The sequence below is a fragment of the Homo sapiens genome, chromosome 4 (genome assembly GCF_000001405.40).
Source record: "Homo sapiens chromosome 4, GRCh38.p14 Primary Assembly".
NCBI lineage: Eukaryota > Metazoa > Chordata > Mammalia > Primates > Hominidae > Homo > Homo sapiens.
In genome coordinates, this window is record NC_000004.12 from 100,531,495 (window position 1) to 100,547,760 (window position 16,266).

The 16,266-nt window shown below is 37.6% G+C and overlaps 1 long non-coding RNA gene across 1 annotated transcript; it reads left to right on the plus strand.

The window, feature by feature from the left end:
- The first annotated feature begins 335 nt into the window (after window positions 1–335).
- On the plus strand, window positions 336–15,088 carry LOC105377345 (uncharacterized). Its single transcript, XR_939023.3, has 3 exons — window positions 336–611; window positions 13,269–13,377; window positions 14,491–15,088. It is a non-coding gene; the product is annotated as an uncharacterized LOC105377345 (long non-coding RNA).
- Window positions 15,089–16,266: the final 1,178 nt, after the last annotated feature.

Consider the following 16,266-nt stretch of genomic DNA (forward strand, 5'->3'; position numbering starts at 1 on the left):
AGCGAGAAGGAAAACACTTACTGCCTATATGTTAGGACTGGTTAATGTATTGGTCTCTAAGCTGATGTGGTACTGACTGAGTAATAGCCATCAAAAGAGTCCTAGTTTGTAAATATAAGCTTGAAAATACTGCAGCAGAGTGATTTTCTAAGTGTGGCGGTGAATCACAAACATAAAAATCACCATGAATGCTTGTTAAAGAATAAGCATAGGTTTTAAGTATGGACTAGACAGTCAAAATCTAAAAAAATAGGTCCAAAAATTTATATTATTAAGAGGCTCACTCAGATAATTCCTATGCATGCTAAGGTTGTGGAAGCACAGCTATAGTTTGTGTGTGTGTGTATGTGTGTGTGTGTGTGTGTGTAATGTGTATTTCATTTCTTTTATTTGTTTTCCCTACTGTTTACTGAGTGAGAATTCTATGTAGAACCCAAGACTTGTCAATCAACAGCTAAGGGAATGAAACACTTTGCACTTGATGAGAATCAACATGGTTTTCCTGAAGATATTTCAACCCATGTTGGACATTCGAGATCTGATCCAAAATAAAGAGGTTCATCCCCCTTGGACTTCAGCCTTGCCCTGCATACATCTTTTCTATCTCATTGGTAAGTGTCAAAATGTCAATGAAGATAAAATAAAAGGGAATGTTTCTGTTTGCTTATATGCTGGCTTAGTGATTTTATTTGATAGAGAAAACAAAGCCTCACCAACTACAAACAGCTATTTTGCTAAGCCCAGAGTTGATGCAGTAAAATATGTGCTTTGGGGAAAATATGTGCTTTGGGGAACTTGTTCATAGTTAGTCTTGAGGTTGACATTAGCAGTTGTGTTACAGAATGAAGTTATTTACTGATGATTACAATAATCTGAGATGTCTGGAGGACAAGGATTACATATAGAACAGAAACACAAACATTAGGGAGACATTATCATTGAGGATATGAAAAAGACTCATAGCTTACTGAAATACATTCTTTTGCATTTTTTCAGACATGTTCTTATGCTAGCTATCATTTTGTGCTCAGAAAATAACCTAAATTCCCAAAAAGGAATATTAGAGTCCATCCCCTTCAATGAATTTTTTCATGATGAACATAATGAAAAATAAAAGCACCTGCTATAACAAGTATAAATTCACTTTCCCCTTGACCTTCCAATAGACAAAAGATCTAGGAGACAAAATACGAGGCTCAGACTAATGGCTTTTTAAGAAGTTCACTCTAATGGAAGCCAGACTCCCTCTCCACCACAGTGGCCTCTCCTAGTATAAATTCTGTAAGAAAAAAACATACATCAATGGATGAGACTTCACCAGAGGCAGATCTGGGGGCAAAGACAGAATTACCACAAAGCTCATGAAATTTAGGCTTGAGTCTTTCACTTGCATTTGCTCATTCTGAGGTCATCTGGTGGGACCTAGCAATGTATTCATGGAGTCATACATTGTTTTTATTTTTTTTCTGTAAGATTTGCAAAATGAAGATGCCTTTAACGAAATCAGTTAAGATTACTTTCGCTTTCTCCACTGTCGCCATTCTTCTGCTGGGTAGCATAAGAAGTGGATATTATGGGTATATGGCTAAGGGGAAATTGAGTTGGGAAATTTAGTTAGGATTTGGTGGTATAAAATTATGTGGTATATAGTCACCTCTATGTCTCATTAAGTTATGGCTAACTGTTACAGTGTACTACTAGCACTTTCAGGGACATGTCTACTTCTTACTGCACTGACAGCACTTGCTTTGTGTGTAAATGAGTAAGACCAGTTGTCTGATTGTAATATAAATGTGTTTTACGGTTGTTGGTACTGGGATTCTATGGGCTGTGGAAGCAAAAAAAGTTTGAAATGTGTAGAATCATATGCTAGTTTGTGGATAATTCTTCTAATCATTGGTTTCATCAACTTATAAGCAGAGCATGTGGCTTCCTTTGTTCTCTTTTGTCAGGAAAACACTTAAAAATGCCATATATTCAAGTATGCAATGCAATGTAACTTTTTTCATTTTTGATGAAACGAATGAGAAACAGAATTTATCATGTTGCCTCTATTTCTTGTCAGTAGTACAAAAAGCAAGCATACATGTGTATGAAGAAGTAAGTTTCAACATTCCAACTGCATGTAATGTAACTCAAATTTTGTTTACTCCATCTTGAGAAAGACTTTCTCTTTTCCCTGTAGAAAAGAGAAAGTTTTAAAAAAGTGGTAGAAAGTGGTTTTACAAAATCTTTGTCATGTGAAATAGTGATCAAATATTACAAAGCCAAAACAAGCAGAAAATAAATTAGAGAAGGATGTTTGTATGACCTTTGTGGGCATTTAAAATATGTGATTTGCTGTGCTATTTTCTCTTGTTCTACATGAATGATTACTTTTATACCCTATGTCTTTTCCATGAAAAATGACCATCACATTTTATAAGCTTCAGGCCCCATAAATTCTTTTTTTTGTCCTTCCTAGGAGGGCTAAGTAGAGTATATTAAAATGTCTAAAATATTCAAATGAAATTTAATGTGGCTCTGAACAAAAGTCGCCAAAACTGTATAGAGTAGCATTAAACCATATCAAGTCTCTGCCTCTCAATCTTTCATTCTCTCTTACACACACAGGCACATACAACACACACAAATACAGAACCTGTCTAGTCTTTTCGTACTTTAGAGAACAGAACAGACATTCGCAACATTCAACGTTATAATTTACATAGGAGATCAATCACCCTTACAAAGAGAAGTCTGAAGTGGGTTTTATTTTCTTGTTTCTTCAAAAAGGCAAATACTTCTATTTTATTGACACCAAATCAACTGGGAAAGTACGCTCTTCTCAAGACCCTATGTCTCTAAACAATGCTTATCTGCTTTGTGTGTCTGAGAACAATCTTTAAACTCCTCTTATATTCCTGAGAAGTTGTCTCTGATTATTTATGCTGCAGACGCTAACTAGTAAAACAACTCAAAACCACTCAGGAAAAAAACGTTCAGTTCTCTCTGGGAAAACCATAGAAAAGAAACCTCTTGATCAGATGAATAAATCATATAAGTAAATCTACAAAACTAATGATGATTTTATTTTTTTGTACACTATCTATAAAACAAAGAGAAGTCGTTTGGCTGGGTGCTTTTACAGTAAAAGAAACTTGAAAAGTTCTCATTTAGTTCGATATTCACACTGAAGTCTTGGAAGCTAAGCAGGTCAGTGTCAGGCTCTGTACCAGCCTCTTTGCCCTTGGTCCACTCCTATGCCCTCTCCAGCACTCTGACAAGAGACAGCAGGACTATAGTAACAATGGATTCAAGTTCAGCATCCCAAATTAAACTCAGGGCTTAAGAAATAGATGGAGAGGTGGAGCAAGATGGCAGAATAGAAGGCTACACCAAGCATCCCCTCCCTACCCCCTCTCGTCTCCTGCCACAAAGCCACCAATTTAACAACTATCAACACAGAAAAAAAACACCTTCCTAAGAACCAAAAATCAGATGAGCCCTCGTAGTACCTGGTTTTATAACTTCATATTGCTGAAAGATTCACTGAAAAAATAGAAAAAACACTCCTGAATTTCAAATGCCATCCCTTCCCCAGCCAAGGCAACAACAGTGGCATGGTGCAGAGAGCTTCTCTGGGCACTGGGGGAGGGATAACGCGGCAATTGTGAGGCATTGAACTCAGTGCCGTTCTGTTGGAGCAAAAAGGAAAAGCAGACCAAACTCAACTGATGCCCATGCACAGAGGGAACATTTAAACCAGCCCTAGCTAGAGGAGAATCATGAATCCCAGCAGTTAGAACTTGAGTACCTACAAACCTTGCCACAGAGGGCTACAGCACTCTCTGTCTTCAAGTAAATTTGAAAGGCAATCTAGGCCATAAGGACTGCAAATCTTAGTTGGGTCCTAGTGCTGAACGAGGCCCAAAGACAGGAGACTGGCGGGACATGCAACATACTGAGACAACAGCTATGGCAGCCAAGGGAGTGCTGCCATCTCTCCTCGTCTACACCCAGGCTGCACAGCTCATGGCTTCAGAAAAGACCTCTTCCTTCTGCTTGAAGAGAGAAAAGGAAAGAGTGGGGAGGACTTTGTCTTGCATCTTGGATACCAGCTCAGCCACAGCAAGACAGGACACTGATAAAAGTCATGAGGCCTCCATTCCAGGCCCTCTAGGTCTCAGATGACATTTCTAGACACACCTTGGGCCAGAAAGGAGCCTACTGCTTTGAAGGAAAGGACACAGTGTCTCCAGCAGTCATTACCTGCTAATTGAAGAGTCCTTGCACCCTGAATAACCAGCAGTGATACCCAGGTAGTACATCAAGGGCCTTGGATGAGCCTCTGAGACTTGCTGTCTTCAGGTGAGACTCAGCACATTACCCACTAGGTTGGCTACAGGGCAAAACTCATTCTGCTTGAGAAAAGCAGAGGGAAAAGTAAAGGAAATTTTGTCTAGCACCTTAGGTACCAGCATGGCCACAGAGGGGTAGGACACTGAGGGGGTTCAAATATAATCTTATATTTGAAAAAACCTAAAGACTCTGCAAGAAAACTATTAAAACTGATAACAAATTTAGTAAAGTTGTAGGATGCAAAATCAACATACAAAAATCAGTATCATTTTTAAATGCCAACAGTGTACAATGTGAAAATGAAATAACAAAGTAATCCCATTTACAATAGCCACATATAAAATTAAATACTTAGGAATTAACCAAGGAGTGAAAGATCACCATAATGAAAACTGTGAAACACTGATGAAAGAAATTGAAGAGGACACCAAAAAATGGAAAAATATTCCATGTTTGTGGATTGGAAAAATCAATATTGTTAAAATATCTATACTACCCAAAGCAATCTACAAATTCAATGCAATCCCTGTAAAAATACCAATGACATTCTTCACAGAAATAGAAAAAAAAGTCCTAAAATGTATGTGAAACCACAGAAGACCCAGAATAGCCAAAGCTCTCCTAAGCAAAAAGAACTAAACTGGAGGAATCATACTACCTGACTTCAAATTACACTACAGAGCTATAGTAACCAAAACAGCATGGTACTGGCATAAAAACAGACATGTAGACCAATGGAACAGAATAGAGAACCCAAAAACAAATCCACACACTTAATGTGAGCTCATTTTTGATGAAGGTGCCAAGAACATACACTGGAGAAAATACTGTCTCCTCAATAAATGATGTTGGGAAAACTGGATATACAGATACAAAGAATGAAACTTGACCTTTTTCTATCACCATTTACAAAATCAAATCAAAATGGACTAAAGACAAATCTAAGACCTCAAACTATGAAACTGCTACAAGAAAACATTGGGGAAAATCTCCAGGACATTGGTTGGTCTGGACAAAAAATTTCTTAAGCAGTACCCCACAAGCACAGCCAACCAAAGCAAAAATGAACAAATGGCATCACATCAAGTTAAAAAACTTCTGCACAGCAAAGTAAGCAACCAATAAAGTGAAGAAATGAGCCACAAAATGGGAGAAAATATTTGCGAACTACCCATCTGAGAAAGGATTAATAACCAGAACATATAAGGAGCTCAAACAACTCTATAGGAAAAAAAATTTAGTAATCTGATTTTTAAAAAATGGGCAAAACATTTGAATAGCCATTTCTCAAAAGAGGACATACAAATGGAAAAAAGACATATGAAAAGGTGATCATCAGAGAAATGCAAATAAAAACTACAGTGAAGGGAATGTAAATTAGTACAACCACTATGGAGAACAGTTTGGAGGTTCCTCAGAAAACTAAAAATTGAGGTATGATATTATCCAGCAATCCCACTGTTGATATATACCCAAAAGAAAGGAAATAAGTGTATCAAAGAGATTCCTGCACTCCTAAGTTTGTTGTAGCACTGTTGACAAGAGCTAAGATTTGGAAGCAAACTTAGTGTCCATCAACAAATGACAGGATAAAGAAAATGTGGCACATATATACAATGTGGTATTATTCAGCCATAAGAAAGAATGAAATCCAGTCATTTGTAACAACATGGATGGAATTGGAGATTATTAAGTGAAATAAGCCAGACACAGAAAGACAAACCTTGCATGTTCTCACTTATTTGTGGGATCTAAAAATCAAAACAATTGAACTGATGAACGTAGAGAGTAGAAGGATGGTTCCTAGAAGTTGGGAAATAAAGTGGTGGGATTGCGGGGAGGTGGGGATGAATAATACATACAAAACAACAGTTAGAAAGAATGAATAAGACCTACTATTTGATAGCACAACAGAGTGACTATAGTCAATAATAACTTAATTGTACATTTTTAAATAACTTAAGGCATGCAATTATATTATTTGTAACTCAAAGGACAAATGCTTGAGGGAACGGATACCCCATTCTCCATGATATGTTCATTTCACATTGCATGTCTGTATCAAAACATCTCATGCACCCCGTAAATATATATACCTAGTATGTCCCACAAAAATTAAAAATAAAAATAAATTTAAAAAAGAAATAGATTTCAGACTTTTGAATAATTTGGGAATGCTATGAAAAACTAAAGCCAAAAAAATTGCAATAGTATGTAAAGATTAAATCATCATTCATTCAGCAAATATCTGTTGAATACCAATTATGACCTCATTAACTGGACTCTAAGGAAGTAAGTATGAAACAATGAACAGGGCAGACATACACCTTTCTTATTTAAGTAACAATATGTAACTATTTAATTAAAATATAGAAATATAGTTATAAACAATTGTTAAAAATTATTTAATTACAGTTGTGATGAGTTATTAGAGAAATGTATATTATGCAATGAAACTATATAACAAGGGAAATCAATTCTAGTAATTGAGACTTCTCTGAGGAATAGATATTAAATCCAGACCCAGAGGATGATTGAGTCTTAAACAGGCAACGGGAGAGAGTTGGGAAATTGTGAAGGACTTGAAACAGCAAAATCTCATTGCACTCAAGGCAGAGAAAAATAGGTCATTGTGGCTACAGAGAAATGAGCAGGAGGGTGGTAGCACAATATGAGATCAGAAAGACTAGCATGAGCCAGGTCATGTAACCTGCCTTGAGCTTTATATTAAGGGCCAAGAGATTTCAGAAAAGACTTCTAGGCAGGGGAGTGAGTTGCTGGTGTTGTGAGAAGGGAAACACTTCTTTACCATAATCCTTAGCAAAAAGAGGTAAACAAATGAAACTAACAAGGCTGTTCCTTATGGGAGAAGTTGCTGAAAGAAAACTAGACTGTAAATCACAGACATCTGTTCATGGGGGAGCCTGGGGAAAGCAATTAAGTATAGACTGGTGGTTTAGAGAAGAGAAGAAGTGCAGCGAAGGCCAAAGAGAGGGTAGGCTACCTTGGACTCTAGGCAACTCTCTGTGAAAACACACATCTTCAGTAAAACTACAAAAATGAGAATAAGTTTAATGGGACTAGATTTCTCGTGAAAGGTGCAAGAGGTGTATTTTCCACCAAGTTCACTGAGAAGATGCACTACAAATAGCTCACAAAGATCCATGAATAGAAAAGGAAGGAAGCTTGAGGAAATCAGGTCAGTAATTACAACAGCTACCATTTAATTAGCAGTTTCTATGTGACAGGCTGTGCTGAGCTACTTACTTGCATGTCTTCATCTTATCCTCACAGAGTTTGTGGGCCATAGTATAGTTATCTTCATTTATCAGAAATGGAGGTTTAGAAAGGTTAAGTAATTTGCAGAGATCACAAATATTAGGTGGCAAAGCCAGTTTGAATACAGGCAACCTAACTTTGGAGCTCAGCTTTTAACCAGTATAGTAATTTCACTGGGATTGTGTAGAGGACATTCGAGTCATCCATATTTTGAAGTTTTCAGTAATATCTAAATCTTCAAAAAGAGAGAAGCCCCTAAGGAATATTCTATATACTTTCATTCATTTGTTTATCCAGCATATCTTAACAGTCTATTATATGTTCATTATTGTTCTAGGCACTAGGGACAAAATGGTGAGCACCAGCAAAGTTCTTCTCATGAGGCTGGCAATATTCATGAGAAGTTTGGTTGGATTGGGGCTGGAAAAAGATATTAATCAAGTATGCACAGTAATTGTCCATTTTAAACTCTATTTGATATGCTATGACAAAATATTATTTGAAAATTTGATTTAGTAGAATTTGTATAAGTGAAAGATTTTATCCAGTTAGGAAGATATGTCAGGGCTTTCCTGGAAAAGTGACAATTACATTTCAATTTGAAGGATATTCAAGAGTTAACAAGTCAAAGTAACTGGGGCTGAAAGGAAACGGGGATGACCACTCCAGACAGGAAGAAAACCCACAAAGGTCTTGTGGCAAGAAGTAACACGGAAGGGACAAGGTACAGAAGGGAGGCCAATGTGTCTGGAAAGTTAGTGCAATGACAGACACACAGGGTGAGATAAGGCTGCAAAGGAAGTTGAGGAGGATGAGGTAAGGGTTTGTGGGCTATGTTAAGAATATAAGCCTCTATGATAAGAGCATAGGAACAGATTTGCGTTTTGACAAGATCACCCAGTCTCCTGTATTGAGAATGGATTTGACCGAGGTAAGAGCAAATGTGGGAGTCTAGTAAAAAAGTTACTGAAAAATTCCAGGCACAAAATGATAGAAAACTTGAACTAGAGTGAAGGTAGTACATATGAAGAGAAATGAATAAATTAGGGGGAAACTTGGAAGGTAATATTGAGAGCACTTGGTGAAGGATTCAATTAAGGATTGAGGAAGAGTGAAATGTTGCTAAGTTTCTGCCTTACAAAATTCAGAGAATAGCAGTGTCATTTACAGTGGTAAAGAACAAAAAAACTGACAAGGTTTCAGGAGGAGCTCATAAGTTTGGCTTTGCAGATGTTGAGGTTTAGGCTCTCTTGAGCTATTCAAGAAGAGATGCAAATAGGCACCTGCATTCTATCTGAAAGTAAGTGGAAAAGTATGTGCTGGAGATGCAAGCTTAGTATACCTTGTGTATACATTGTCATTTAAAGTAATAGGATGGATAAAATTGCCCAGAGAAAAAGGGCATAGAAGACAGTTATCCTTTGGTATTCACAGAAAATTGATCCCAGGTCCCCCTCCATGGATACCAAAATCCACAGATGTTCGAGTCTCTGATATAAAAAGGCATAGTATTTGCATAGAACTCATGCACATCCTCCTGTATACTTCAATTCTATATTGCTTATAATACATAATACAATGTAAATGCTAGGTAAAACATTGTTACACTGTATTGTTATTTATTTGTATTATTTTTAATTATTGTATTATTACTTTATATTGCTTTTGTATGTGTGGAATATTTTTAATGTGTGGTTGAATCCACAGATGTGGAATCTGCAGATATGGAGGGCTAACAGTAATCCCAACATTTAATTGCTGGGTAAAGAATGAGGAATCTACTACACAGACAAAAGGAAAATCCAAAAAGATGAGGTTAAAATCTCTTGACAGAGAAAAGGAAAGAAAATGTCTCAAGAAGAGTGGAGACACCCATACTATCGAATGCTATTACAAGGCTAAGTAACATGAGACCTTTAAGTTTCTCTTTGGATTTAGCCACATGGAGGTTGTGGCGTGATGGCAGGCTGTTCCAAACAGGTGATGTGAGCAAAAGTCATACGGGATGGGTTGATGCATGATTAGAAGATTGAGGACTAACCTGAGGAAATGTAGATTTCAAGAATAAGAGAACATTTTTGAGAAGTTTATCTGGAAAGTATAGGAAAAGATGAAGAAAGGATTTCTGGGACATGGAAACTCTTTTGGAGTGGATCAGTCATGAATAGGAGATGGGAAACTGAGATAGGGATGGGAGTCAAAGATAATTCTCAAATGTCTTGTGTGAATGATCAAATGAGTTACAGGGTTGTCTATGAAAAAAAGAAACTACAGGAGTTGCTGCTTTGTGGGGTAGAATATGGATTAAAGTTTGAGCATGTTGAGTTTGGGGTGTCTATAAAAACACCAAATAAAAATAGTCTGTCAAGGCCAGGCATAGTAGCTGACATCTGTAATCCCAACATTTTGGAAGGCTGAGGCAGTAGGATCACTTGAGCCCAGGAGTTCTAGACCTGCCTGGGCAACATAGGCTGCAAAACCCTGTATATGCAAGACCCTGCAAAACCCTGTATTTATTTAAATATTATTTAAAAATTACCCAGGTGTGGGGTGTGCACCTGTGGTTCCATCATCTCAGGAGGCTGGGATGGGAGGGTCACATGAGCCCAGGAGGTCAAGACTGTATTGAGCTGTGATCACACTGCCACTGGACTCCAGCCTGGGAGACAGAGCAAGAACCTGTCTCAAAAAAAAAAAAAAGCCTACCAACAGATGGAATGGGGCTCAGAAGAAAAGGTGAGGTCAAAGATTTTAGTGGGGGCAGCTCTAGATTATACATGGCAGTTAAAGCCATGGAATAGATAAGATATCAAAGAAGAGCATGTACAGAGAGAAGTAAAGAAAGACTAAGTCCAGCCTGGAGGATCCCTATCACTTAAAAAAATCACAGTATGGGACAATACATAAAAACAGCAAGCAGAAAGATAGGAGGAAAATCAGAAGTTTCTGTCTTGAAAGACAAAGACAGAAATTGCCTAGGGAAGAAAATTGTCAATTTACATCAAATGATTCTGAAAAGTCAAATAAGATGAGGATTAAAAAGTGTTATTGGATGTAGGGCCATGAAGATCATTGATCACTGTACTGGAAGCTATGGAATAAAGGGTTAGAGTTAGTGTGGGAAGCAAATTTTAGAGTTAACAGGATATAAAGATGAAGAAACATTATGTAGACAATCCTTTCAAGAAGCTTGAAAAGAGTTGAAGAGGTAGTAGTAAAACTGAGAAGGCTATAGGGCTGTAGCAGCTGTAGGTACTATCAGTTAGTTGTACATATTATGTGGCTCTTCATATTCCTGTGGCACCACCTGCCTCCCAGACCATTGGCCCCAGTGCAGGACAACCAATTGTGTTTGGCCAACACAGGTTCACATCTGGGTTCAACTTGCCCTGGGAACACCGAGCCCTCCATTGTGTCTACTTTTTATGCAGCCAAGCTGACAAGCTGCACCCCTCAATTTTTTGGCTTCTCTTGCCATTTCTGAGCTTGGAGGAATCATAACCACACTGACAGAGTCCAGTGTGGAATCTGACATCCAACAGTACCAGACCACAAAATTCGAAACAGGGGAGAAGTGAACTCCTCGAGGGCTACACACTGCTCAATAGAAAACAAGAGCTAGCAGGGAGTTAGGCAAATCAATTTCCTCACCTTTCTTTCTGCCTGGGACTACTAGGGTCACATTTTCTTCTTGCAGCCTGCCTGGAAAAAATTGCAAATGTCAAGCAATTACATCTGTTGAGCAACTGATGTACACCTTAGAGCTTTCATGAGAAGGGGTAGCTATTTGGTAACATCTCATTTAGTATTGCTTTACATTCTTCCTTTTCTCATTTTTTCCCTCTTAAACAAGACATCAACACTTTCATCTTGGTATGAGGCTTTCTAGTTTATAGTAAACCTGAGGTAAAAAAAGGTGGATTCAGGGAGCCCTTTTTTCTTTTTCTTAAAGCGGGGAAGAGGTGAGCATGTCCAATTACTGATGAGAAGAATCTAGTTAGGAGGAAATGTTAGGAGGAATCTAGTTAGGATGCAGGAGAAGGGGAGAATTATCACTGGGGTAAGGTTTTCAAGTAAGGAGGAGGCAGAGGCTCCCTAGCATGCGTGGAAAGTAAAACTAGTTTTTCTGAGCTTTAATTATGTGCCAGGATCTCTTCACAATGATGGAAATTTTTTCTTCATTTTGGTCCTCACACCATCTTCTGAAGTAATTCTTACCGTTGTCTTCATGTTGCAGATGAAGAAACTGAGACACAAAACTTCTAAGGAATTTTCCCAAGTCACACAATTTAGGTGGAAGAGAAATTATTATACATCAAGCTTCTGTTTCTAGAGCAAATATTCTCACTCAGTATATTTTACTGTCTATCTTTCATTAAAGAGGATAATTTATTCTATCGTGATAAGAGGAAAGGAAGAGAGGTTGAATGCAGTTGCAGATTTGAAGATGTTCAGTTTGCGGTGGACTGTACTAGCAGTGAAGAGTAATTGGAAGAAGGGCATTTTGGGAATTTGGCAACAGTAAGAAAAATTGGAAATCATTTCATGTATAGCCTAAGTTCTTGTAATATCCTGCCACCCATTCATATTGCTTCTGCCCTTGTCTTTCTCCAATCTATTCTCAACACAGTAGTAGACTGATTCCATTAAATTCGAGTCAGATCATATCACTGTGCTCAGACACACCAATGACTTCACATCTTGCTCAGTAAGAACCAAACAATTCTTATTAAGACCTGCATGGCACTACACTATTCAATTCTGTCCCTATCTGCCTCCTCTTTGAGCTCGTCTACTTCTCTTCCCCTTGTTTACTCAGCTCCAAACTTCCATGAAAACACCGCTCATGATCTCAGTGCTGTTGCACCTACTACTTCCTCTGCCTGGGATAGAGGACTCTTTCTCAAGACACCCAGGAGGCTGGTTTCTACAGCTCTTTCAGGTTTGCTCAAAAGTTGCCTCTTAGAGAAGCCTTTTCTGGCCACACTCAACTGCCCTACCAATATTTTCTATCTCCTTCTCTTCTATACTATTTTCTTCTTAGCACTTATAATTACCTATCATATATACTTTAATTTTTTGTCTTATTGTCTGTCTTTCCCACTAGAATGTAAAGCTCCTCAAGGAAAGAGCTTCTAATCTATTTTTTTTTTTTCAGTAAGATGTCCTTAGCAGCTAGCATAATGCCTGGCTCATACTACCTTAGTAAATACTTGTTGAATGAATGAATAATTGTGGAGAGTGGGACAGCCAGGTGCCTGGTAATATGTGCTAAGATATTTAGGCAACACAAGACATTAGGTTGAGGGTAGTGACCAGGAATATGTAGTTTTCTGCTTTCACATTTCTCATTTGCTAGAGTACAGATATGAGGTGGGGTGTTTTTTACACCAGAATTTTTTCTAGACATGTATTTTCTGTCTTGTGTTCTACCTTAGACAAAAGCTTGGACTTCTTTTTATGTCTTATGAATCTTTAGACAGACAAAAACTAATGATAAGCCACTTTTAGAGGGATTTAAAAAATTCACATGGGCATTATTGTTATATATATGAGATATATTTTGAACAAAAGAAATTGTTTTTGTATCAACAACATGAACGTAAATTCAGACCTTAACTTATATATCTGTTTTTTTTTTCACTTAGGAAAAACTTGTTATTTGTTGAGAGACATGTGAATTTGCAGCTTTAGATGTTCTATTCAGGCAGCATTTAAGTTTGGAGGGTCAACAGATCAGACTTGGAGTCCTGATATGTAAGTTAGTACATTTCCATCTAATTTTCCACTCCCAAGAAATGGAAAAGTTTGAGTCATTAAGTGATAAGAAGCTTCCTAATTGAGACAAACAAGTTTTCTATTGCAGCATAGAAAGTTAGACCTAGCTATAATTGAGAAGACCAAAGATAAAGGAGAAATTCTTATGAGAACTTAAGGAAAGTCACATGATCTTCAACAGGTTAATGGCATTCACACAGGAACAGTGTTGGGTTTTTTTCTCTCTTTTTTTTTTTTTTCGAATTTTCTGAGCACAGGAATTCCTGAAGTGTTTGCTAAATGCAGAATCCCCCAGGTTTAATGTACGAGCATCTGTAAAGCTAAAGCCCTAGAATTTTACATTTTAATAAGCACCACAGCTGATTCCATTGTAAGCCGTTGATAAACCAAACATGGACAAAGATTATTGTATAACATATCCTGTAATAAAAAAAAAAAACATTGGCCACTAAGTTAACCAAATTAGTGAAAGGTAGACACTAAAGCTCCTACATGTTACTAAAGCAGGAAACTCTATGGACTCTTTCAGTCTTTTCGCTTTTGTTGTAAACAAAGGTATGAACCGTTGCTTGGTTATTCATTTTAAATTTGTTTAATTGAATTGAAATGGCAATTAGAAGAGCGAATGATGCCCGGTAAAGCCGGGCAGGCTGAGGTCTAATAAAAGCTAACAGCTGAGAGTCTGTCAGGGAATAAAGAAAACAATAATTTCCAAAAGCACACAAGAGTGCAGAAAGCACTGCAGTCTAGGACCTGCTTAGGCAGGGATACACAGATCTCAATCTCTCCAGAGGGCATTCCTGCATTACTGCCTTATAATGTCCCTGAGTTAATAACAAAAGATTCCATCATTCTTAGTACTCTCTGTTTAAGATTTCAGGGAGGCACAGTGAGTCTTCCAAAGACTTAGATGCAGAAAAATAATATTAAATATATATTAGAGTTAATTTCAGTTACTTGGAAAATTAACAGAAGTGGAAAAGTTTATTCCACAGGGAAATGAAATACATACTTTCTGTGTGGACAGTGGTTAAATAACCCACTTCTGTTGGACTTGTGGTCTCATGGGTGGTAACATCATTTTTCCTTTAGGTGTCAGAAATTGGGGAAGATTACTGCCTGAGACAGCACAGGGCAGCGACAGTGAGAGATGAAGGCAACATCAGTGTGCGCCAGAGTTTTGCAACTCCACACGCAGTCCATCATGGACCAACAACTGCAGCATCACCTAGGAGCTGTTAGAAGTACAGACTCTCAGATCCCACCCCAGATTCCTGAGTTGGAATCTGTAATTTGATAAGATTCTCAGGTACATTAAAGTTCGAAAAGTGGCATGTTAGTGAACTGAGATTTCTATGTCAAGGGATGTACTTGGTGTTGAAGAGCTGAGTTCAGAGTTCAGAGAGCAGGTGTTCAAAAGCAAGTTCAAGTCATACAAAAGAGCCAAGAATAACCCAAGAGCTTCCACATATCTCTGTAAACAGGGTTAGAGGTTGTCAGGGTCACAGGCAGGACAGATACCTTGCACATTTTTTTCTTAAGAAATCTCGATTATCAATCTCAAATTTTCTTTAAAGTGTTTTTTACTATAACACAAATATTGAAACACAAATATGTGTACAAATTAATGCATTTTAATACTGTTTTACTGAGGTAAAATTTACATGTAATAAAATGCATAACTTTTGAAGAATGTGTTGTGTATATCAGATAATTGCTACTCTGATTGAAATATAAAACATGTTCATCACCCCAGAAATCTCTCTCTTATCCTCTCAAATTAATTTTTAGCCCCTAGGCAACTGCTGTTTTAATTTCTATCACTATAGATAGTTTTGCTTATTCCTGAACTTAATACAAATAGAAGCAAACATTATATACTTTTTTTGCATCTAGATCCTTTTCCTTGACATAATGCTTTTGAGATTAACCTTATACTATTGTACATATCAATAATTTGCTGCCTTTTACTAGTGACTAGTGTGGTATGAATATACCACAATTTGTTCATTCTCCTGTTGATGGACGTTTGGGTTGTTCATAGTTTTTTGCTATTATGAATAAGGCAGCTATAAAAAGAATATTCTTATACAAGCCTTTTGTGGGCAGTGCTTCATTTCTCTTAGCTAAATATCTAGGTTTAGAATTGCTGTTAACTTTCTGAGAAATTAGTAGTTTTCCAAAGCAGTTGTACCATGTTATGGTCTCACCAGCTGCATGTGTTTGCTAGAATTTCATTTGCTCCACATCCTTGCTAGCATTTAGTGTGGTGTTATCAGTCTTTTTAATTTTAACTATGTGAAATGGCTATGAAATGGTATGCTTGTGAAATGATGCATTTCCCTGCTTAAGAATAATGCCAAACACCTTTGTGTGTGTGTGTGTGTGTGTGTGTGTGTGCTTATTCCTCTATATATCTTCTTTAGTGAAGAATCTGTTCAAGTTTGTGGCAGACGTATTTGCCAAAATAATGATAATGAAAATAGGTACAACAATATCTCCCAATCTCCCATAACACATATTTCTCTTACAACGCTTTTTTTTTTTTTTTTTTGGAGACAGAGTCTAGCTCTGTCACCCAGGCTGGAGTGCAGTAGCACAATCTCGACTCACTGCCACCTGCACCTCCCAGGTTCAAGTGATTCTCTTGCCTCAGCCTCCTGAGTAGCTGGGATTACAGGTGCACACTACCATGCCCAGCTAATTTTTTTTTTTTTTTTTTTTTTTTGTATTTTTAGTAGAGACAGGGTTTCACTGTGTTGGCCAAGCTGGTCTCGGACTCCTGACCTCGTGATCCACCTGTCTTAGCCTCCCAAAGTCCTGGGATTACGAGCGTGAGCCACTGGCCCGACCTATAATGCATTCCTG